Genomic DNA, 26,621 nt, shown 5'->3' with positions numbered 1-26,621 from the left:
TGTTTACAGGAGCTATACGCATGCTTACTTGAGGCATTTTTTTCTTATCAGTCAAATGTCCCTACAAGGTCATATACCACTTAAACTCTGCCATTTTGCCTCTCAATGTGCATGCTTGAGCCCACTCACCCAACTACTGAGACTTTTTTTTTTTTTGAGATGGAGTTTTGCTCTTGTTTCCCAGGCTGGAGTGCAATGGCATTATCTCAGCTTACTGCAACCTCCTCCTCCCTGGTTCAAGCGATTCTCCTGCCTCAGCCTTCCTACTAGTAGCTGGGACTACAAGCACCCACCACCACACCTAGCTACGTGGTTTTCTTTTTTCTTTTTTCTTTTTTTTTTTTGTATTTTTAGTAGAGACAATGTGTCACTATGTTTGCCAGGCTGGTCTCGAACTCCTGACCTCAGGCGATCCACCTGCCTCAGCCTCCCAAAGTGGTGGGATTACAGGCATGAGCCACCACGCCTGGTCCAACTACTGAGATCTTATCCGGAAGTTGCTGATTACCAGCTTCAGGTGTTTCTGTTTATTGGGAGACTGTTCCTGCTGCTGGCTGTGACCAATTATTATTTTAAAAAGACAGTTAACAACTGCCGGACCATCATCTGATGGTTGCCTGACATCTGACATTCCTGTTGTGTGTGTTTTGAGGTGAGGGAGCCCTCTCCTGCCCTGTTCTTGTCTGACTAGCTACCTACTGTAACAAAACTATATTTGGATTCCATAACGTGATACTCAAATGAAATTTCAAAATCTTTCAAGACATTTATGAATCATCAACTTTCGGGGTTGTTCTGCTAGGCTCACTTTAATGCAAGTTCTAGCAAGGACACAGCAGAAACTATTTTGAATTTCGGTGTGCCTCTTAAGAAGGATTTTCTTCACGTTCAAGCAGGGTCAGTCTGGCCATTTGAAGATAAATATATACATAGGTTAGTGGCTACATCTCTCCAAATATAGCTGCAACATCTGTTCAAATAACACATTTTCCATTTTCATTACTCAAGCCATACTGTCTAATAGTGTGTTACAGATGCTGCAAGTTTTTTAGTAACACTATTCTGCTAACTTGTCTTGAAAGTATCACTGTATAATGCATTGTTACTCTGAATTCTTAGTGTCACTTTGATATAAAAGGCATACTTGCAGGTGTATCTCCTGCTTACCATCTTATTTTTAATATAGGACTAACAACTTCATATGCCCCTATGAAGTAACAGACTCATTACACAGAGACAGCAGGGTTTGTAGCAAAGAGTTTAATAATAATAGGGCATCAAGCAAGTAGAAGGGAGGAGACCTTCAAATCCATCTCCCTGAGGAGTTCTGGGCTGGAGTTTTGTAGGAATCATGGAGGGAAAGGGGCTGTGTAGATTTGGGGTTGTTGATTGGTCGGGTTAAGGGGGATGAAATCATCAGGATGCATTTTTTGGTGAGTCAGTTTCTTGTGGCGTCCTTTGGACAACAGCTGATGTCAGTAGGGTCCTTCAGGCAAGTTGTGATCAGCAGGGTCCTTCAGACCAGCCAGTGCCAGTGGGGTCCTTCAGACCAGCTGAGTCAGCAGTTTCATCAGTACACAGTATCTGAAAGAATATCTGAAAGGGAAAACAATATTTTATAATGTTCACATTGTTATCTACACAACAATTAAGGGAAACTAGAGTCTTGTAACAGAGTATTGTGATTCTAGGACAATGGGCACGAAACAGCTATGATGAAGCAGGGCCAAGAGCAAGCTGACCTCATGATTGATGCTGAACGTGCTGCAAACTCGGTTTATTTTCATTTCTCCCCCTCCTTTTTTCCCTAAATAATTTTATAAAGTTTGTGTGGGTGGTTTCATTTTGATGAAGAAAAGTTTTAGTATCAACTGGGCGAGACTCATATATATTACATAATCTTGAAAAAAAATGCTCATATTATTTTACCTGAGTGAAGTAATTTTATCAAGTTTAAATATACCTGTTATATATATTTATGTTATTAGATCATTGTTCTTTCTTCCATTATTTATCAAACCAAGAATACCTTTCAACCTAAATAATTTTTACATTATGATAATAGTATATCTCAGAAATTCAGCACTTTAAAACTTGACAAATATAATTTTAGTTACCTTGGGTCTTTTGAATACATTAATCACAAACATTAATCAAACTGTCTAGCACATTCGTGTTACATTTACTCACAACAGTTGTTATAACTCAGGGTCTTGGAATTAGGCAACTCTGATCTCAGTCACTGAATATAATAAAAAGTCATAGTGTCACTACAATAGGATAATTGGGCAAGTTGATGAAATGTCCAAGTGGGCAAATGTAAGGTGATTTGGACAGGTGTCAGTAACTGAAAAAGTAAAATTCAGGAAAGAGACAGAGAGGTATGGTAAAATAAAGATTGGTGAGAACCAATTCTTGGAGACAGGGTGAGAAGAATGAATGTTCTGGATAGCTGCTCTGTTTATAGAAAGACATATACACAGTTGAAGGTAAAATGTACAGAATTCAGCTCCAATGGAGAAAGGACTATCAAAAGCAAGCAGTGTCAGGTTTCTAGATAACTGGGATATAAGTCATCACAGGATTCTGGATGCCAAAGTCAACCTGAACTGGAAAGGAGAAGTCAGATAGAAGCTTTCTTATTCTGATTTGGCAAAAATGGCATTTAAGAAATCATGAGATGTTATAACATTTAATATCCAAGCATGACCAGGGCTTACTAACAGCAGCCCAATAACAGCACAATGAAATGCAGACCTCAGTTAAAAGGCTCGGGTTACTGATCGGGGTGTACAGAAGTTCCTGAACAGTCAGGAGAGCCAATAATTGTACACAGTGACTTTAGGACAGTAGCTTGATATCGACCATGGTGGGAGTATTTATATCAGGAAAATAGGCAAATGCTGAAAATCAGGGCTCTTTTTCCCCGCTAAGAGCCTGTAGTCAAACACTTACTACCACATTCCTATTATTCATATAGCTGACCCTTTAACAAGGTGGAGGTTAGGGGCACCAAATCTCCACTCAGACGAAAATCTGCTTATAATTTTTGACTCCCCAAAATCTTAACTACTAATAGCCTACTGTTGACTGGAAGTCTTACTGATAACATAAACAGTTAACACATATGTTTTATGTCATATGTATTATATACTGTATTCTTACAATGCAGGTGGAAAATGTTATTTTAAAAATCGTAAAGAAGAGAAAATATGTTTACAGTATGGTAATGTATTTATTGATATCATAAATTATGTTCTCTGTTTACAACATGAGTCATCTATCTGACATGGTGAACAATCTTAGCTTCAGGCCTCAATCTAAGGCACATATCAAGCAATTCAAGCTTTTTTGTGTATGTGTAATGTCATTACTTTTCTCTGCTTCTTGTGAGCATTGTCAGCATTAGTGGTCCTTTGTATAAATCCCATGGCATTATTTAATGTTTACAGTGTTACACTAAATGTGAAAAATTTGCAACAGCTAGGAGAGATCACTTTTTACTCTAATATGCAATTTACTGGCAATAAACTGCTCACATGGAGATGATTAGTGACACGTAGCATTTCAAGTGGACACTCACAGTATGAGCTTATGCCAATAGCAAAAGGAGGTGGTTACGAAATTATTACAGTAATACAATGTATACTACAGTGAATTTTATGCAGTTATGATTTAATCTGCATCTTTACATATGTTTACTTTTCCCTCAACTATGAATGGTGTCATGTAAGGTCTGTGTCTGTGTGTATATGTTTTGATAAATTTTAACCTTTTATTATAGATTTGTGCATATTTTATGGTGGTAAATAATAAAATAAACTAGTATCTACACATAGTTTATGCATTCATGACATACCTAACATTTTCTTAATTTTTAAAGGATACTCCTAAGCTAAGGAATATTATCTGCAGATAATATTCACCTTACAAGGTGTTTTCAAATTGTGCAAATCTACAGAAAAATGTACCAATATGTTTATTGAAAAAAATTTGTATACAAATGGACCCACTCAGTTCAAACTTGTGTTGTTGAGGAGTCAACTGTATTTGTTTACCTCCCCCAGTAAGGGTTAATTCAAGACCTAAACCTACCAATGAAACTCTTCATTCATGATTCAAGTTAGATTGGCTAGAATGAGACATGATTTTCTCTTTTCCCTAACTACTGTTTTGTCAAGCCAAATCAACAAGGAAGTCTATAAAATAACCATGTGAGTGTCTCATGTGAAACAAAAACAAAAAGCAGAGTTACAAAACAATCAGAAAAACATTTTAAATCCCATTAACATTATTGGGTAGTAACAATAGCGTGTATCTTATTAAGATACGAGGAAGTTTGTTTGGACAGATGATCAAGATAATTACATTTAGAGTATTTTAAAGATCAATTATCAGTGACCAAATTCTTTTTTCTTAGAAATATTTACTTTAAGAAGACACAGAGTTAATAGCTCAGGCTGGAGTGCAGTGGCGCCATCTCAGCTCACTGCAACCTCTGCTTCAGGATTGAAGTGATTCTCGTACCTCAGCCTACCGAGCAGCTGGGATTAGAGGCATGTGCCAACATGCCCAGCTAATTTTTGTATTTTTAGTGGAGACAGGGTTTCACCGTGTTGCCAGGCTGATACCAAACTCCTGACCTCAAGTGATCTGCCAGCCTCCACCTCTCAAAGTGCTGGGATTACAGGCATGATCCACTGCACCCAGCCTATTTTCACGTTTTCAATTAAACTTGTCCTACTAGATTCTCTAAGATTAAAAAAAAATCTGTATAGTCAAATATATTTGGAAAATAGAATGTATATGGTTCACTGGGTATTGGTGCAATTACAGACAACACCAAAATCTCAGTAGTTACAAAAAACAAAGGTGGATTTTCTTCTCGTGTCATTTTTTTTCCTGGGCAGCTACAGCTCCCCTCCAGGTCTTCATTCACAGACTCAGAATTAGGGAGCAGCCTCTATATGACACATGCTGGGCTGGTGACGGAGGAAAAAGAGGAACAGTGGAAATACATGATGCATCTTAAACTTTTGTTCAAAAGTTCCATATGTCCACTCAAAAAAAATTTTGGCCAAAAAAATTGATCCCAACTCCAAGTTAGCAGAGTAGGAATCAATCATAATCTCTTAAAGGACTCACAAATAATTAGAACAATAATATATCCTAATTTATTCACCATACTATATCCTCCTCATTGATACTTGTGTTTTGTTAAGTGTTTTGAAGAATTGTGATTAAAAAGCTATTTCCATTTCCACTGGAAGTGTGTTGCCATTTATCAGAGGTTTCTACAATTTCTAATACATAGTTAGGATCATAGAAAGTCAAGATTTCCTTGCATATATGCCACGTTAGAATTCCCATAGTCACATAAAAAATTCATGTTGCCCATTTCATGCAGAACTGAGTTTTTCTTTTTATCAAAAAAAGTTGAACCTTTTCTTTTTTAAGGAAACTTGGAAGTCAGCTAATTCATACCATGCTTTGCTTCCCTATGATATTTACACAACACCCAAAATATGATTTCCCCTAGCCTTTTTCTGGTCCTATAGAAGTTTCAGAGTCATGCTGCTCTGTGCTTACTTGGCTTTAATGCAATCTCCCACTGTTCTTTCCTTCAAAACTTTTTCCTGTGACCTCTTTAGTCCGTGTCCCACAATAACAAATAAATCTGTGTCTTAAACTCATTGGTTGATTTCCTCTCTACCTCCTTGTCTTAACTCATCTTACTTGAAGTTACTTCTCCCTGATAATGTTCATTCACACTCAGCATTATTCCTGCCCACTAAGCATCTCACCACCATATATCATAAGATATGAAGATTGGGAAAATTATTTTCCAAACTTCTTTACCAGCACAGTCCTTTCTGAGTCTAGTGAAACACATCCAGTGGAATTAGTGCTTCCCTCTGTTAATGCCTACTTCAGGTCTGCAAACAGCTAAGAGTATTAACAGTGCTTTCCTCCACTTTTCAGGAGTAATTTCCTGAGTGAACAAAGTGGTTGCTCTGTTTTTGTAAGTTGCTAATTCTCTCCATTAAATCCCTTCTTTGAAATTTCTAGAGAGCCTTCCACTATCCCAACAGATTCCTGACAGATCAAGCACTACTTTTTATATAAAACCCTATTAAGTGGTGTCTTATCCATCCATATTCTGCTTTCCTCAGAGACAGAGCAAGGGAAGTTCAAAACAATATTTCACTTCATGGTGCTAATTTTGGACCATCACTGCTTTAACTTCCACCACTCTTCCTGTATCTGTATAGCTCCCTATCACTCCAATTGATGTATCAAAGACCTTGGCTCCTTGTTTTCTGTCTTCTTTTCTACGCCAACCTCTAACACTATCCTCAGTAAACCTAAGAGCCAGGTGACAAAGTTCTCTAACTTTCAAGCTTTTTCACTTTCTGGTTTTAGAGAATTCTAATTAGTTCATGCTGTTCTATTCCTCCTGCCCACTCTGATGTCTACACCCTGGACTTTGTTATTACCAAAGAATTCCTCTGCTCCTGAAATGTTAGATTAAAAGACATCACTCTGATTAAAACATCCTATTCTTCTGGCACTAGTTTATTTTCATCAAAATTTGGCTCTAAATCAATCTAAGATTTCATCATTTCTATGACTTTCTCCAAGTGATGAGCACGGCAATGAGAAAAATAATAGTTACCCAGACTGATGCTACTAAAATATTATAGTCTTCAATGTTAATAGAGGACAGTCCTTTTTATCCCATCATAATCAGCTTTGTTCTATCTCTCCCTCTCTCCTGTTATTATTGGTTGATATTCAGTGGCTAATGAAAATTTCTTGTTATATTCTCCCAAACTGACATCTACTAAGCCCTGGACTTTGAATTCCATAGTTCTTTGATTCAGCATCACATTCAGGCACATTCTAAGATATTGTTGCATTTTAATTACATATAAATATAATAACTCCAAAGCCTACATTTGAATTCCAAATATATCTTCTGAATTTTTCAGCCAGTTTCTATAGATAAGAAGATGATATGCTGTTTAAAAATATATCTTTCAATATCAATTTCCTCTTCTATAAAGTGAGAGAGATGTTAGACTCTCTCTAAGGTTCTTTATATTTCTAGTCTCCCATGGTTTATTTTAATCAATTACTGTTTACAGCATACCAATCCTATGACTGTGACAGGAAATATTTTTAAGTAATTATACTAAATTAATGGCAATGCTTTATTGTGCATTCAATAGCAGAAAAATGTGAATCGATGAAATATGGCAGTTGTTTTTACACAAAAGAAAAATACTTATTCTGATATTCACTAGATTCAAAGAGTATAGTTTATTTTATTTAACAAATTTTAAAGTTACAGGAAAAATATAAATAATCCCTCTATCGGATGTCTTCTCCAAAAGACCTACCAATTGTTCAAGTTCAATCAGTATAAAATCACAAGGTATTTCCTCTTGGCCTATGAATTTATCTTTTCTATATTGATGTGACTATAATACAAACCCTCATTCCTTCTATCCATTTATTTTATACCTTTTCCTAAAAAATTATCTAATTCTATATTCTTTTGCAACTTTAAGTAGAGAGAAATGAAAATCCTTAACTATTCCATTCTATATGATTCTATTTTGTATTCTAGTGATTATTTTTCCTTTATCAGCTTTTTTAGGCTATCAAATATTTTTAACTCTGCTTTTCTTCTTTTCATAACATTCTTGTATTATTCATGCCAGCTTAAAGCAATTGCTACCTTACAATCTTCAATTAATGTGAGACTCATACCTGATAAGTTTAACAAGTTAAGAGCCATCTGCTGAGAAAATGACAGAACTAGAAAATGACATCTTTGTTAAGATATTTATGGTTATTTCTAACCAAGAATAGTATTACTTCTCCCACTCCATCCCATACTCTACATAGGGGGCATTTGAAAAGGTGTGGTGAATTCATATTTAGTTGTCACCATGACTGGGGCAGGTAGTTACTACTGGCATTTAATAAAGGACAGGAATGCTAAGCTTCCTAAAATTGTAAAATTAGTCCTTCAAAATTAAGAACTATTCTGCTCAAACTTTCAATGTGAGAGACGATGCCATCTATTCCTAGCAGTGTCTGAAGCAGGTGAGAAATTTAAATCGATAAATAATGGAGAAATTGAATTTATTTACAGATTTTCTGTGACTACATCTTCCTAGTACAATATTTATGTAAAATGTAGTAAATTTTTTAACATCAAATTTCTTGATCTATATTGAAACATCCAGGAAAAACAAAAACGATCTTAGAAAGAATTCTAGCAATTTTTTCACTTAGGAAAAACAAAGCATTTCTATTTTTTGAATCTCAGGGTTTTACACCATTATTGCAAATAATACTTTTTAGTTGACTACAAAATCTATATACTATCTAGCCACAATAATGTCTCAGTGATGCTATCAACAGTTGTCAACCAAAACTCTAAAAGCTGAAAGATGTGTGGTTACTATTTTTAATGCAATGTTTCATTATTTAAAGAGAACCATGATATTTGTGGATAATAAAGGTGCCAGAAATAAGACATCTTATCTGACCAAATGGATGTACATGTCAATTACTGTTTGAACCTAGAAGAGATGCCTAGAGACTTCAGTAATGTCAAAACAGGCAGTTTCCATGACAACCATGTCAATGATCTGTGCAGAAGGGTCCACATTTCAAATATATTGTTAATTCTGCTCAGGGCCAGTACATCATGATATTAAGCACATTTTGTTCTCTCTTCATCTAATTGCTTTGTGGTTTACATTAATCATAGGTCTTTCAGTAAACATAATTACTTTTCATTACGACTATAACTTAATTAGAATTTAAGAAGGATTAAAATGCAACAATAGGTTCACAAACCAGTGATTGAGGACTCCCAAATGTTGGCATTGGATCAAACCCCGGAGGTGAGTATAGAAAGAGCTAATATAACCCTCAAGGTCTTATCTGTGAACCGTGACTAGCCAAGGGGGAGTCAATCATGAAAACTTCATATTTTTCTCCAGGCTGTATGTTATTAATATTGATAACATGGTAGCTTTCTTAAGAGTTAGGGCTGGAATTTGAATTTAACTAAAAGTATAAATCTATATGAGGTTGCTCTCTATTCAGTTTGGGGGCAAATTCTGTTACAAGTAGAAAAGGGAATAAACTAGAGCATCACTCATTCAGTCTGGTATTTGGCATGTTTTTCCTTTATACCCTTGTAGAAAGAGGGCATTGGAATAGGACAAGTCAGGCTCCAAGCTCTAACCATTTATAGCCCACCCTAATACACTCCAGTTACCCAGTTATTTCTGCAACGTGTAGCTGGATTCCAAAGTTTAGAATAAAGGGATGTGGTTTGATTTAGTTTATAACCTGCATAAATTAGTTCTTTGGGATATTTGTAAAAATAAAGATGTCAAGACTTTCTTTTTTTTTTTTTTATTATACTTTAAGTTTTAGGGTACATGTGCACATTGTGCAGGTTAGTTATATATGTATACATGTGCCATGCTGGTGTGCTGCACCCACTAACTCGTCATCTAGCATTAGGTATATCTCCCAATGCTATCCCTCCCCCCTCCCTCCACCCCACAACAGTCCCCAGAGTGTGATATTCCCCTTCCTGTGTCCATGTGATCTCGTTGTTCAATTCCCACCTATGAGTGAGAATATGCGGTGTTTGGTTTTTTGTTCTTGCGATAGTTTACTGAGAATGATGATTTCCAATTTCATCCATGTCCCTACAAAGAACATGAACTCATCATTTTTTATGGCTTCATAGTATTCCATGGTGTATATGTGCCACATTTTCTTAATCCAGTCTATCATTGTTGGACATTTGGATTGGTTCCAAGTCTTTGCTATTGTGAATAATGCGGCAATACACATACGTGTGCATGTGTCTTTATAGCAGCATGATTTATAGTCATTTGGGTATATACCCAGTAATGGGATGGCTGGGTCAAATGGTATTTCTAGTTCTAGATCCCTGAGGAATCGCCACACTGACTTCTACAATGGTTGAACTAGTTTACAGTCCCACCAACAGTGTAAAAGTGTTCCTATTTCTCCACATCCTCTCCAGCACCTGTTGTTTCCTGACTTTTTAATGATTGCCATTCTAACTGGTGTGAGATGGTATCTCATAGTGGTTTTGATTTGCATTTCTCTGATGGCTAGTGATGATGAGCATTTTTTCATGTGTTTTTTGGCTGCATAAATGTCTTCTTTTGAGAAGTGTCTGTTCATGTCCTTCGCCCACTTTTTGATGGGGTTGTTTGTTTTTTTCTTGTAAATTTGTTTGAGTTCATTGTAGATTCTGGATATTAGCCCTTTGTCAGATGAGTAGGTTGCGAAAATTTTCTCCCATTTTGTATGTTGCCTGTTCACTCTGATGGTAGTTTCTTTTGTTGTGCAGAAGCTCTTTAGTTTAATTAGATCCCATTTGTCAATTTTGTCTTTTGTTGCCATTGCTTTTGGTGTTTTGGACATGAAGTCCTTGCCCATGCCTATGTCCTGAATGGTAATGGCTAGGTTTTCTTCTAGGGTTTTTATGGTTTTAGGCCTAACATTTAAATCTTTAATCCATCTTGAATTGATTTTTGTATAAGGTGTAAGGAAGAGATCCAGTTTCAGCTTTCTACATACGGCTAGCCAGTTTTCCCAGCACCATTTATTAAATAGGGAATCCTTTCCCCATTGCTTGTTATCCTTGATGAACATTGATGCAAAAATCCTCAATAAAATACTGGCAAACCGAATCCAGCAGCACATCAAAAAGCTTATCCACCATGATCAAGTGGGCTTCATCCCTGGGATGCAAGGCTGGTTCAATATACGCAAATCAATAAATGTAATCCAGCATATAAACAGAACCAAAGACAAAAACCACATGATTATCTCAATAGATGCAGAAAAAGCCTTGGACAAAATTCAACAACCCTTCATGCTAAAAACTCTCAATAAATTAGGTATTGATGGGATGTATTTCAAAATAATAAGAGCTATCTATGACAAACCCACAGCCAATATCATACTGAATGGGTAAAAACTGGAAGCATTCCCTTTGAAAACTGGCACAAGACAGGGATGCCCTCTCTCACCACTCCTATTCAACATAGTGTTGGAAGTTCTGGCCAGGGCAATTAGGCAGGAGAAGGAAATAAAGGGTATTCAATTAGGAAAAGAGGAAGTCAAATTGTCCCTGTTTGCAGACGACATGATTGTATATCTAGAAAACCCCATTGTCTCAGCCCAAAATCTCCTTAAGCTGATAAGCAACTTCAGCAAAGTCTCAGGATACAAAATCAATGTACAAAAATCACAAGCATTCTTATACACCAACAACAGACAAACAGAGAGCCAAATCATGAGTGAACTCCCATTCACAATTGCTTCAAAGAGAATAAAATACCTAGGAATCCAACTTACAAGGGATGTGAAGGACCTCTTCAAGGAGAACTACAAACCACTGCTCAAGGAAATAAAAGAGGATACAAACAAATGGAAGAACATTCCATGCTCATGGGTAGGAAGAATCAATATCGTGAAAATGGCCATACTGCCCAAGGTAATTTACAGATTCAATGCCATCCCCATCAAGCTACCAATGCCTTTCTTCACAGAATTGGAAAAAACTACTTTAAAGTTCATATGGAACCAAAAAAGAGCCCGCATCGCCAAGTCAATCCTAAGCCAAAAGAACAAAGCTGGAGGCATCACACGACCTGACTTCAAACTATACTACAAGGCTACAGTAACCAAAACAGCATGGTACTGGTACCAAAACAGAGATATAGATCAATGGAACAGAACAGAGCCCTCAGAAATAACGCCGCATACCTACAACTATCTGATCTTTGACAAACCTGAGAAAAACAAGTGATGTCAAGACTTTCTAAGCCTTTGTGTGTTTTTTCATAAAGTTAAACATAAGATTTTTTTGAGTTCCTTACTGGAAGGAGGCAGGAGTACAAAGTAAAGTGCTATCTGCAGCCAATAAGCTCTGTGTATTAAGCATGCCACTTAGTGAGTGACAATATACTTTGGTTACATGCTATGTACATAGCATTCTACCTAGAATATTGTAGTAAGCAATACAGGTACTTGTCCTCATGGAGCTTACAGACTGAAAAGAAAATATTCAGAACTCTTTACTTTTGAAAGAATAACAACCCTATATATAAATAAAACATATCTTTTATCTTTCTCACTGGTGTTATGAGAATTAATATGAAATATACCTACAACACTCTCCAAAAAATAAGTACACAGGATTTAGAGTCTGTGACATTGTTGTATCTAAAGCACAAACATGAATAAAGAAGCCAGAATCTTTTGAATTTGAAATAATTTTAGTGGTCAATGTAAGAATGCTCTTGTGTGTCCTTAGTGGATAAACCCCAACTGCTACTCAGACCAAAACATCTTTCTAATGTCTTTTTCTGTCTTGTCCTTGCACTAGGAATATAACATGTTCCTTCCTCATGACATCAGTGTCACTTTTTAAAATAGGAGCACTTTTCTTTCACTTTCCCTTTTCTATTTCTCTACAGAGGGCTATGCTTGTTCCTGAGTTTTATTGCTATTAGTTACAAGGAAATAAAAGAAAATAATAAAAATCATAAACATCAAGGAAATCATGAGGCTTAAGAAATGTTATAACTTCCTGTAGAAATGATTCCACATGAATTGTCTGTGGTTCCCTTGCTGTGATAGTGACAGGAAACTTCCTCTGATTTCTGTGCTCTACTTTTCTTCTTTGTTTAGTAGGATGAGGTGTTTCCAATTTCCTCTTCAGCATCTGCATTAGTCAGGGTTCTCTGGAGGGACAGAACTAATAGAATATGTGTGTGTGTGTGTGTGTGTGTGTGTGTGTGTGTGTGTGTGTTTAAGTATTAACTCACATGATCATAAGGTCCCACAATAGGTCATCTGCAAGCTAAGGAGCAATGAGAGCCAGTCCGTGCAAGCTAAGGAGCAAGGAGAGCCAGTCCAAGTTTGAAAACTGAAGAACTTGGAGTCTGATGTTTGAGGGCAGGAAGCATCCAGCATGGGAGAAAGATGTAGGCTGGGAGGCTAGGCCAGTTGCTCTTTTCACATTTTTCTGCCTGTCTAGCCATGCTGGCAGCTGGTTAGATTGTGCCCACTCAGATTAAGGGTGGGTCTGCCTCTCCCAGCCCACTGACTCAACATTAATCTCCTTTGGCAACACCCTCACAGACACACCCAGGATCAATACTTTGTATCCTTCAATCCAATCAAGTTGACAGTCAGTATTAACAATCACAACATCCCAGTGTTTCTGACCTCGTCCTGAATTTAACACAAAAACTGAAAATGTAAACAAAATAAACTCTAATTTCCTCCAACTCCCTCAGTTGGTCAATTTTCTTGATGAGGATTTCAAGACTGAAAGTCACTCATCTTTCTGTGCATGTAACTTAAATAACACCATAAATTAATTTTCACAACTTTATGATAATATTTGAACCATTTCAAACTGGAGCAATAGAAAAGTTGCTACTGGAAAAATTATCATTACTGCCAGACAATATCATTGCTCCATAATATTTCACATGTCTCTTGAATTACCAGTTAGCAAGCAGCCAGGAACCAACATTTATTTCTCTGTTATTAGAAAAAGATGTTGAGGGTTAATGGGACTAGGACAGCTAAGAGACCTGCAAAGTTTAAAAGTAAAAGGAAAACAAACACACAACAACAATGTAGGGGTGCATCCAGCTACAGACAGAAGGGCATCCACTTAGGCAGAGTCAATTATTTAGAGATTTAAGCCACAGATAACAAGCAGGCAGTATTATAGGCTAGTTTCAATAAAATGTTAAGTGACGGATTCTGCAGATCAGTATAATATAGTGACAAGGAACCTAAGATTATACCAGGCAAAGAACCATTAGTGGATTCTAATAGTGCCTTGCAAGACTCTAGTTAAAGACTTGGCATTAGAAACAGGGTGTTTGTTGTGTGTATACAGGGGTAGAGGTGGGGGCAGAAAAGTCAGAGAAAATAGATAATTATTCACAGAGGAAATTAGTGAGAGCAAAGAAGAGACATAAAGATGGAAAAATCAGTGGTGAAATTATGAAGAGTCAAACGATTTTAGCCAAAGTGCCCCCCCACAACATACATGTGAATTACAAAGAAAATATTGGCAAATTTAATTGTTTACATGAGCATCATATGATACACAACAACTGAACTGTATATTTAAAAATGCCAATGTTAGGAAATAAAAGAAGAAACAAAGAATGGCACCAGATTGAAGACAGCTAAGGAGATATGACTGATGGATGCAACTTATGATCCAGGAATTTCTTTTGCTAAAAAGATCAAAATTGAGACAATTGGCTAAAATCTCAATAAGGGGTGCAGATTAGATAATATTGTCTATGGTAATTTCTTGATATTTCTTATTTACTTCATTATATAAGATGATGTAGCTGTATTTTAGGAAGTACACACTAAGGAATTAAGGCTCAAAGGGCATCATGTATGCAAAATAGTCTCCATATGTACAAATAAATGTATAGAGAGGGAAAGAAAAGGATGCAGCAAACATAGTAAAATGTTAACACGAGTAATCTGAGTGTAAAGAAAACCCTTGTACTATTACAGCAATTTTTATAACTCTTTTCATATTTCACAATAAAAATTAAAAGGTCTACTAGGCAATTTTTCAAAATAGATACTCAAGCATAGAACACAGGACAAGAGCCCACTTACTAGAAAAGTCTCAAGAACCGAAGAATGTTGTCAATGTCTCTTTGTATTGTTAGTGATGGAAATGTAACTATAATTCATTTAACAAACAATAACAACAACAAGCGTTTTGGAAGGATACTGGCATATGCCACAGAATCAACAAATAAAAGGCTGCAGAAAAAAGGAAACATTCAGCACTCTCGATGCCTGAAACCTGCAGACTTCTCTATAAATACATTCCTCAAGCTCTCACCTTAGCTTATCGCTCAGTATCAAGCTTTTATATAAGATGACTGTCTTTTGCTTATAAGTATTATATATATCTAAGGGATAGACAATGATTTAACTGACATTGGTCACTCATTGCACCAATCACTTTAGATGGGAGGATACAGCATTGTGATCAACCCTCTGCATCTTATATCTAGCGCTGGGTGGAGTATTGGAGGTAGTAGTGCTATGATTGGCAGCTTCACAAGCAGTCACTGCATTAAGGGTCAATTCCCCAAAGGTGAGAAGTGAAATAAACATTATAGGTGTTACAATCAGTGCTTTGGTTTGAGTGGGGATTCACTCCAATCCTACATTAAGGATGGGTCCTAATTTTTCTAGTCTTATGAATTGGATAGCATGCTCTGGACAGGATATTTTTCAGCATCAGCAGATTATGCAGTCAGATTCATTATAGTACAATGCAAATTCTGCTAAAACTCCAAGGATACTAGCAGGTACTGTCTTCTACTGAAGTTGACCCAGAAAGTCTGTAATTGAGAAGCTGCTATCCCAAAAGCAAAGGCACTGATAAGAGTTGAGTAAGAGAGGGAGAAAAATTGATCTTGATGACACTGGTTGAGTGCAGGGAACCATGCTTGAAGCCAATTATACCCCTGAAGTTTTTAATCAGAGTCATTAATTTCTTTTTGCTTTTTGCTTATATCTACTTGGGTTTGGTTTACTTGTCACTTATGTCAGAAATATCCTGATACAATACTATTAACAAAAGAAAGGGGAAACAAATGCTTGACACCTAACACCACCACCACACACACACAAACACACACACACACACTTTTATGTGCACACTTCAATAGACTTTCATCACTATGAATGGAAAATAAAATCAAAGCAAGATAAAAAAGTAAACTTATTTTGATAGTTAACCAAAGTAACTCAATTGTTCTTAAGACCCATTTACCAGAGACTTAGTGTATGAGGTAAGGCCATTTTACAAGTGAGAGGAAAAAAGTAGAACTTTAAGAGCAAGAAACCAAACATGTGACACCATTTCAATTTGAGAGTTGAATAATTATTATATTCCTAGATTTATATGAGCCAAGGAAACTTACATAGAAGGCTGCTAAGAAGTACACACTTCCCTTACCCTGTTATCACCCAACAATTTGTACAAGAATTCAGATTAGGTCTCAATGAGTATATACATTGAGAAAGTTTAAAATAGATATTCATTTACCTCATCTCACTACCATGCCAAAAAGAGATTCAAATGAACTCATGATTTCAACAGTGTGATGGTTAATTTTATGTCAACTTAACTGAGCTAAGGGATGTCCAGATAGCTGGTCAAACATTATTTCTGAGGGTGTGTCTGAGGGTGTCTCCAGAGAGTTTAGCATCTGAATCAGTGGAATGAGTAAAGATCCCTCTCAACAATGTGGGTGGGCATCACCAATCCATAAAGGACCCAAGTAAAACAGGATGGCAGAGGAAAGGCAAATTTGTTCTTTCTGCTTGAACTGGGTCATCCATCTTCTTCTGTTCTTGAACATTGGCACTCAGTACTTGGGCCTTGGGACTTGGACTGAGACTTATCCCATTGGCCCCATGGTTCTCAGGCCTTAGAGTCTGGACTGGAACTACACCACTGGATTTGTAGACTTCAATCTTACAGATAGAAAATCATGGGACTTCTCAGCTTCCGTAATTGCATAAGCCAATCCCTTGTATAATAAATAATAAATAATAATAATAATAATAATAAATATATTAATAATATATAAATATATATAAATATAAATATAAATATAAATATAAATATATAAATATAAAAATAAATAATAATAATAATAAATATATTAATATATTATATATATAAATATATATAAATATAATAAATAAATAAATCCCTCATAATAAGCGAATCCCTCATGATAATATCTTTCTATATATCTATAGGTGTAGATATCTGTGTAAATATCTACAAAGATAAAGATATATAGATCTATCCTATTGGTTCTATTTCTTTGGAGAACCCTGACTAATACAAACAGTTATCAAATATTGGTGCCTCTTTGTTTTCAAGGCTTAATAATCAGATTGAGGGTTAACATTTTAAAAATAATAAATAATTGATTTTACTACATCTCTCTGAGCTGGCTGTTTAATGTCTCTCTATTCCCATTTTTATCTGTACAAGGTGTTAATTATACTTCCTTATCTCCCATAAGCACTGTGATAATTACTGTTAGTAAAGCACTTAGGTTTATATGGATAAGGGAGATGGTGTACGGGCAAAGCATTATCATCATAATTATCATTGCCCTGGGCATCTGCTCATTAATGGCTGCATTTGACTAAAAACCCATGAAAGGTTTAATTGATATGAGACAGAAATTGGTCAACCTTACTCATATTCATTGCCAAAATTAAGTCCAGAGAGAAAAAACTTTTCTCTAAATAGATCATCTCAAATTCCATCACAGAATGGAATCCAGTAGTTTTAAAGCATTTAAACAATTCAGAATTCATTCATTTAACAAAGATTTATTGAATATCTAGTGTGTGCCAGACACCGTTCTGGATTCTGAGCATATACTGGTGAAGAAACATAAAATTGCCTTTGTGGAGTTTACATTCTAGGGTTTAGAATATGCACCCGGGCTATTGTCTTTCTCTTCTGATCCAGATCATCTTTTAAGTTCTTCATCACAGACTCCATTCCTGATGCTGTCTTTTGCAACACATCGCAAGCCACTTGCATTTTTTCCCTCTCTGGAAGGTAAGTTCTAAATATTTATTTTCCTAAACAATGAATTGCTGCCCATTATGTAAAACTGCTCTATATTTGCATGTTATTTTTTTTCCCCTAAGACCACTGGAAGTTTAAATTGTCCATGGCATTTAGCACAGTGCTATACACATAGTGTGCTCGTAAGTGATTCTTTAATTAAATTGAACATGTAACATCTGTTATTAATTTTTTGGAACTGTATACTTAGAACTGATTTCTAGACACAGGCAACCTATTTGTTATTCGGCCAGGCAAAACTAGGGTTTGCAAAAAGGTCAGATTTAGAAAAACATACTTCATTTTCTGTCTGTGCTACTACACTGTCCAATGCCACTGCAGCATCTCCAGTTCTTTTAAAGAGAGTGCCTGCCAAAATCACCCCAGTTATCCTATCCTACAGTGTATTTTCTGGATACTCATGACCATGTCAATTAGCAACCACAGGATATCCAAGTATCCAAGTATTATTTCTTCAACTCTGACTCTCTTCAGTGCTGTCAACTGCTGAGTTTCCAACTGTCTCCAAAACTGCAGGAAGGCACTTTATCTCTTACTAGGTTGAGATTTTTTTTTTTCCCAAGTACTATTGGCACTACTTCTGCTAAGCAAAATACCCTGGAGCACTGGTGATAACAAATCCATTTTCAATTTTTTCCAACATTAGGGTTCAAATCCAGGTTGTAGATTCAATACAAAAAAGGAAAAAATCAAATCCAGGTTGTAGGTTCAGTAGTGTCCCAAGAACACTAAGAAAATACTGTTTTTGAATCCCAAAATTTTAAGGATTCTTGAAGTGAAATATTTCCATCAGTTTCTGTGTCCCTTGGTCAATTTCTCCATTTTCTCTATCATCCTAACTTCTCTCCCTGCTCTTCAGAATAAATGAATGAAACCCTAGTGGCTGAACTAGGAATAAATCTAGTCAATAAACACCATAACGTGAACAGACTCAATTCTGGCCTCTACAAGGGCAAGCTTATCTAATTTTTTTAAGGTGTAACTGTCATCTCAAAAGTTCCCTCATGCAAAGAGTTTTCTTGTAGCATCCTCATTATCTGTCCTGAAGTGGGCATATCTCTGGTTTAGGCTAAATGAGACAGAGGCTTTCACACAATGACTTTTTCCCCCCTTTACTTCTTTGTAGGATCAATGGACTGGGAAAGTATAAACCAAGAAGTCACTCTGTTTTGGTCACTAAACCAGGCTGATTTTTCAAAAACTTAAAGGTCGTGGAAAAGAAAGTAAGCTTTATATTGCTTTCAATACATGGAAGCTATAGAAAAGCGAATTTAAACTAGTTTTATGCTATAAAGTTGTAATTAGGGCTGGGCACAATGGTAATCTGTAATCCCAGCACTTTGAGAGGCGGAGGTGAGAGAACTTCTTGAGGCCAAGGTTTCAAGACCAGCCTGGGGCAACATAGTGACTTGTCTCTACAAAAACAATTTTAAAAATTAGCTGGGCATGATGGTGCATGCCTGTAGTCCTATCTAATCGGAGGCTGAGGCAGGAGGATGGTTTTGGCCCAGGAATTCAAGGTTACAGTGAGCTATGATCACATCACTGCTCCCTAGCCTGGGTAACAAAACAAGACCCTGTCTCAAAAAAAAAAAAAAAGTTGTAATTAATGTTATAAACATTAGTAATAATGGTGGGTTTGGGGTGAAGTTAGCTGACATTAAAGACAGGAATGGAAAACTGTTGCTCTTGCCAATTAAACCATTGCATCCCCAAATTCCACCCATAAACTCTCTGAAAGCATTATCCTAAAGGAACAGCAGCAAAATGAGAATCAAATACTGCCCAATACCCTTATTATGCACTCTGTTAATAGCTAAGTTCAACACATGCTTTAGTCTTGGAAGCCAAACAGAGACTTCTACTCCCTGCATCACTTTCACATTTACTCCTTTCCCAAATCCAAATCTTGAGATCTTGCCACATTCTTAACAGTTGCACAGGGGAAATAAATCAAGGATAAAGAAGATGCAAGATGGTTGGGCTTAATTTCAACAATGCCAACTTCTTGGATAAGTCCTTAACTTATCTGTGTCTCATTGTTCCTGTCTGTGAAGTAGGAATAATCATCATATCTACCCCATACTTGAGTTATGAATAATAACTGTGCTAATCTATGTAAAATGCTACAAAGCATGGTCAAAAGTTTCAATAAATATGAGTTATCACAATGATGATAATTATTATCATCATCATGCTATCTTCATCATGACATATCAGGCCCTCCCAACCTTATCACTTATTTTCATGTATAGAGAAAGGAAGAAAAAGAGAGAGGCCTATTTTAAATTCCTTGATCCATTCAGTCACAGAAAAAGGAAGTAACCATTCATAAGAGGAGTCTTCCCACTTAGACAAAATATACACACCAATGTGGCTCAGTCAATTGTTATGAACTTGAACTAACCAAATTGGCATGTCCTCTTTCTTTAAAGAAAATAAAATCTAGTCAAGCAAAGGGGTGAGTTGTTGTGAAGAGGGACTGGGGAATAATCTTTCTCTATAAATCAAAGCTGTCAAAGACATGAGATGCCTCAAAAATATTAAATTAGAAATTGGAAGACCAACTTAGGAATTCTGAGGGAGAAATGCCTGCAGTGATATGGCACTAAATTTAATGTTCTTAAGAGGGCATATGGGAGAGGCAGAGCACATAACCAGTGGAAGGCTAGGGCTAAGTGTGAGTGAGGGAAAGAAAGTGGCAAGGAGAATACAGAGAGAGCAGTCTAATGATCAACATTAAACACAAACACAAAACATATGTTGATCAATCTACAGTTTTTTTAGCAAGAAGTTTTCAGGTCATTAAAGACCTCAATATTTTATGAGAGTCACAAATTTTATTGCAAAGCATATTACACTATTCCAAGGATTAAGCTGATAATATCTTCACTGTTTTTAGTCACCCACAAAATTATATAGCCCCATAGGAAATAAACAGATTACTTTTCACTAGTCAAGAAGAGAACGTGCAGATTCCAGTTTCTTTGACAGAGGTACATTTCTGAAAGGACTGGCTGCTCTTCAGACTCTTATAGAATGGAACAATTCATATCACCTCTGGGATGAATTGCAATGATGTTAGGACTTTAAAACAGAAGAGTGCCCATTGTTACCTTACTAATGAGTAATCCCAGGGAAGCAAAATCAGATTAATCATTCAACTTCTCTTTGAAGAACTCTCAAGGGAGCTCTGCTTAAGGAAGAATGCTAGAAAGATCATGATGGAACACTCATATTTGCATTATTCTACACAAGACAAAACAAGCTACCAAAGTAACAATAGAACCTAGCGTCAAAAGTGAAAACTGCTCTAAAAAGGGGTGGAAGTGACAAAGATGAGTTGTTATATTTTCTTTGCATTTGGGCTGGCTCTGTTTTCTCATTTCAATTCCTTCTTGGAAAAGTGGTAGCTTAAGTGCTGTGTGTGTGTGTGTGTGTGTGCGTGCGCGTGTGGTTCACGCCTGCATGTGTCTATTCCTAAGGCAATCGTAGCCCATTCACTTTAGTGACTCATATTTTGAAAGGCACCAATTTTCTTTTTCTCTTTAATAGGAGGGTGCCTCTTTTCTTTGGTTTTTGACCTCTTTTATGCCATAGGAAATGTGATTTTTGGACACACTGAGATGGAACTATTATTGTTATATTGTTGGGTAGTAGTGATACAGCTGTGGACCATCATTAGGCTAAGATGTTTTAATAACCATACATTTTAAAAAATAGCCATTTGAAAATAAGGCATAAGAAAAAATTTCAGCATATTTATCACAAGATGTAAAATCTTTTTTAAACCAGTAGTATCATCAGTAATTGATATCTAGTTGAACAATAGAAACATATGTATTACTGTGGTAATATGTGATTAAAGATGTTTTTTTCTTAGTATTCATTGCCAAAATCTTTAATTATTAACTTTTTGTGTATTGAGACAAACTGACATCTTAAAATTGATCTACTGAAGCCTTTCTTTCTTTCTGAAAGATGTGTGTACATTCTTTTTTAAGTAAAATTCGACCATTTTTAAACCATCTGTTAAGGCAAAGTATGTTTTTCTCTCACAGGCTTACTACATTTTCTGTCAATACTCACTCTTGTCTTCTGTGACTTTCTGTCCCTGGACTATCATCATTTTCTCTTAGGGAAACTAATACAGACAACTGATTTAGTTACTAGGCCTGCTATTACCACTTGACTTTAATTCACATAAAATAATATGCTTTTTACAAATGATTTTAAATCAGAATTTCAGGTCAAGGGAAGCATATTTGAATGATATGTGTTTCATCATTATCTCTTCATAATTTTTAGGCAATTGCTGAGAAAATTTAAGATATATATTGCATGCTAAAATACATATTGCATGGTAATCTTAAGATTATCTTCCTGGTATTCTGCAACTTGGTAAAGGGTAATTAATAGTACTCAGCCTCTCTTATAGATACGTTTTACTAACCCAAACAGTTGGTAGAAATGACTTTTTACATTTTGTCACAATCCAGTAATAGGTAACATGGTTCAGTGTATGTAATATGAAGTAGTAGCTACTGATAGCAACAGGAGACAGACAAATTCCCAGGTAGACAGGGACAGACCCAGTGAAACCTGACCTTCGAGCCAAAGACAGTTTAAAACCTGAAAACCGAGCTGCTAGTTCCAGATAGAGTTCAAGACCAGAGTGAAAACATCTATCCCTTGTTGGAGGCCGAAAGACTGAGGGTCGTGATCAACTCAGTATACCACTGGAGGCTATATGACTAAACAGCAAACTGTTCTCATAAACACAGAATGTTGGCAAACTGACAAACTACATCTGCCACCCAGAAAGAATGCTGAGGGCAATCATGCCCCAAGTCCAATGTTTCTTGTGATTAGGTACATCTGAAGCCTGTTAGTAATAATATGAACCTGTGATCAATTAAGCAGCTGACCAATCATTACCTCCTCCTCCTTGCTCTTGTTACCCGATAAATATGAAGGGCAGTGGAAGCTCAGGGGCTGCCTTTGCCCACTAGAAGCAGGGAGCTCTCTTCTTCCCCTGGACCTTTCCTTTAAAACAGTCTCTTTTGTTTTTTATTATCATTTTCTATGTTCATCCCTTTGTTCAGTCTTGTAATGATGGTCTCAAGCAGTAACAGTAGTAACTGCTGTAATGACAGCCTCAAGCAGTAACAGTAGTAACTGCTGTAATGACGGTCTCAAGAAGTAACTGTGACAGTCTGCCACAATCCCTGTCTTACTCTCTTTCTCTATTGTTTCCTTCTGGATGATGCCTTTTAACCAATCAGATGGTTCTTTTTCCAAGACCACCCATACATTCCCCCATTCTAAGCCCATAAAAACCCTGGACTCAGCCTCACAGATGGCTACCTGTTTTCAGGGTCCCCTCTTGCAGCTGAGAGCTTTTCTTATGTTACTCAATAGCATTCTTCTCTGCCTTAGTCTCTCTCCCCTGTCTGCATACCTTATTCCTCTTGGTCATGGGACAAGAACCTGGAACTCACCAAGCTGTGGGCAGTGGGAATGAAAGAGGTGTAACCCTCCTGTTTGCCAAGCTTCAGGGGCAAAAAGGCCTCTGATTGCCACTCCCTCCTGCTTGCCAAACTATGGGAAAGAAAAACCTGATGAGTCCCACTCCCTCCCACTCACTGAACTACAGAAAAGAAAAAGCCACAATATTTTCATGATGGAAAACAAGATGAAATTAGTTCAACTTGCAAGAAATAAAATCTTGAATGGATAAAATTATAACTATTGTCCATAAGAATTGTTAAATGTTGCAAAAGGCCAGAAAAAGAGTCAGTCAGGGTGCTTAAAGAAGTAACATGTAAAGATTATGAGAATCCCATTTTCCTATACTTTTTAAATAATGTATACATTTTAGGAGTTTTTCATATCCAAGAACCTTTAATATATGTTTTGAATAAAACGACTTATTTTTCTAGAATAAATTTAGTTTTAAAAAAGGAATTCTTAAATTAATACAAAACATAGAATATCAAGTATCATTAGCCATAAATAGAAAGTAATTAAAGTAAACCAATGCAGTGAAAGTGAAAAAATGTTATTTACTTTATTTACTTGAGTAAAGAACTATCACAGATAATTACATTAATATCATTTTGTGTTGGCTTTAGATCTCAAAATATGACAAGTATTTACATTGGCCCTAATTCTTAATTGCAAGCCACCAGGTAATCTTGATTAAGTTTCTCAGTGAGCAATCTCTATAAACTCTTCTGAAACTTGCATTGCTGTCTCTAAACACTTACCCATAATGTGGTCATTTCTTTTTCAGTAAAGTGATAGCACAGGTTCTCTTATGGTATTAAATAAATCTTCCAAAGAAGAAATTAAATTTTTTCCAAGATGGTAGATTAGAGGATTTTAGCATGCCTCAACCGTTTGGAAATAGCAAGCAATACATAACGATAAACTCTGTGGGGTTTAATTCGAGAAGGAAAAACAGGAATCCACCAGAATTGTGAATAAGACCCCAGATCCCAGGGAGGATGAAGGAAAACAGCTCCCGTGATGACATCCAGCTAGTAGAAGTGAATGAAGCCTCAGTATGTGAGAGTGGCAGAGAGCCTCCCTCTGTAGCTTACCTTTCCACTGGAGACCTGAGCAACCCAGGCCAAGGGAAAGCACTTGGTCTTCTTATAAGCACTGGAGCTAACAGGGGGATAGGATTGGAGACACTGTGAGGAAAAGACAAGGAGGAAAGCTGCAAACATGTTCTCACACCAGGGATTTAGGGCAAGATGCCAATTTTAATCCAGGGACATATAAAGTCAGCCATTCTTTGGCAAACTGGCAGCATGGCTATGCAGGCATTTTAGCCTTGGGCCAGAGATTGGAATCCCTGCACTGGAGTGAGGGTAGGGGTCTCAACAGCCAAAACTGAAAACACCTCAGCAGTAGGTGCTGGAATTCCTGGGGCAGGAGGAGAGCTATTAAAGCTGCTCTTTCTCCTGGATGATGAGACTTGCATTCAGGGCCAGCTTGGCGACCTAGAACTGGTCTATAAGTGTCATTGCTGTGTGCCCCAGCCAGCTCCCCTGAGATCATGGTACAGTGGGACCCTCTCTGCTCCATGTCCAGGCAGGTCTTCAGGTATTCAGAATACCTCCTCATCTGATTCAGCAGCCAGACCCACCCCACCCTTCCTGTACGTAGCTGTGGCACAGTGGCTTACTCTTCACTCCAGATTTAGGCAGATCTCCAAGCATTCGGAGCACCCACTCATCTAAACCAGCAACCCGGACTGTCACACCCTTTATGTGCAGAAATCCTATTCAGGGGGCCCCTCTGTACTTCACACTCAGGCAGATCTCCAGGCATTCAAAGCACTCACTCACCTGGATCAGCAGCCTGAACTGCCCCACCCTTTGTGTGCATAGATCATGGTGAAGTAAGGACTTCCTTGCTCCACACCCAGGCAGATCTACAGGCATTCAAACCACCTTCTTTCCTGGATTGGAAGCCTGAGGTGGCCCAACCTTTCTATGAAGAGATCAGGGTGCAAGGGGGCCCACTCTGCTTCATGCCCAGGCAAATCTCCAGGCATTCAAAGCATCTGCTGGCCTGGTTCAGCAGCCTGAGTCACCCCATCCCACCTGTGCAGCAATCTTGGTATGGAGTGACCTTCTCCCTTCCATGCTCACGCAGGTCTCTAGATATCTGGAAAACTCACTCTCCTGGATTAGGAGTTTTGGTTGCCCTCAAATCCCCATGCAGAGAACTCAGGGCTGAGGTTTCCCAGCTCCACACCTCTGGGCACTTAGTGGCCACTCACTGGATTCTTCCTTGGCAGTGGTGTTTGTGGCTACCACAGGAGACATGTAGGTGGACCTGCCTGGTCTAGCCCTGTCCATCTTGACCCCCACATCCTGGGAATGAGGAGAGAACTTAGATGACTGTGCACTCCATGAATCAGCCCATTTCCTTAGGCAACAAAGAGCTTCTCTCAGCAAAAAAGGATTAAGTAATTACCCAGAAGCATTGGCCAAAGCTGTCTCTTACCCATAAGCACCATCAAACTGCACAGCTCAACATAAAACCTGCCAACAGAAATGCATAGGGCTACAGAAGCGAAGTCAAAAGACCCTACCCACCATTCTCTATGGTCATATCCCCTAGGGAGATGGGGAAAGGGGAAGGAAAAGGGAAATCAGAAAAAAGACAATAATATTACAGGGAAAGGAAGAAAAAGAAAAAAAAAGTTCTACCTGCACAAAAATAGTTACAAAAATTACAAGTACCAGCTTCTCCAGATGAGAAGAAACCAGCACAAGAATTCTGGCACCATGAAAAATATGAATGTAGTGATACCATCAAAGGGCCACACTAGTTCACTTAGAACAGTCTATAACAAAAATGGGAACTCAGAAGTTACAAAGAATTCAAAGCATGGGTTGCACTGAACTCAATCAGATCCAGGACAAGGTTGATAATCAAGACAAAGAAACTTCTAAAGCAATACAGGAAATGAAGGAAGGGATAAAAATCTGAAAAAGAAATCACTTGGATCTTCTGGAATTGAAAAACTGCATTAAGAAATTTCAAAATATAATTGAAAGCTTAATCAATAGACTGGACCAAACAGAAGAAAGAATTTCAGAGCTTGATCACTGGTCATTCAAAGTAACTCAGTCAGACAATAATAAAGAAAATAGAATTTTAAAAAATGAAAAGTCTTCAATATATGTGGGATTATATAAAGTGACCAAACCTATCAAATATTGGTATTACTGAGAGACAAAGAAAAAGAAAATAAACTGAAAAACATATTTGAGGTAATAATTCAAAAAAATTCCTAATGTTGTAAGAAAGGTAGACATCCAGA

The 26,621-nt window shown here is 37.1% G+C and overlaps 1 long non-coding RNA gene across 1 annotated transcript, besides 1 other annotated feature; it reads right to left on the bottom strand.

Annotated features, from left to right (window-relative positions):
• Window positions 1-1,245: 1,245 nt before the first annotated feature.
• On the bottom strand, window positions 1,246-20,976 carry LOC124900850 (uncharacterized). The gene is made up of 2 exons (XR_007058449.1): window positions 20,893-20,976; window positions 1,246-1,596 (listed from the first exon to the last, which is right to left on the bottom strand). It is a non-coding gene; the product is annotated as an uncharacterized LOC124900850 (long non-coding RNA).
• Window positions 25,071-26,270: an enhancer, noted in NCBI's record as "CDK7 strongly-dependent group 2 enhancer chr4:44962593-44963792 (GRCh37/hg19 assembly coordinates)". NCBI's record gives its function as "activates an origin of replication core promoter dependent on BRD2, BRD4, P300/CBP, MED14 and CDK7 cofactors, with strong dependence on CDK7, by STARR-seq in HCT116 cells {active_cell/tissue: HCT116}" and the evidence as "EXISTENCE:reporter gene assay evidence [ECO:0000049][PMID:35650434]".

The sequence above is a fragment of the Homo sapiens genome, chromosome 4, assembly GCF_000001405.40.
Source record: "Homo sapiens chromosome 4, GRCh38.p14 Primary Assembly".
Taxonomy (NCBI): domain Eukaryota; kingdom Metazoa; phylum Chordata; class Mammalia; order Primates; family Hominidae; genus Homo; species Homo sapiens.
Note: the sequence above shows the minus strand (reverse complement) of the source record. Positions and strands in the feature narration are given on the sequence as shown.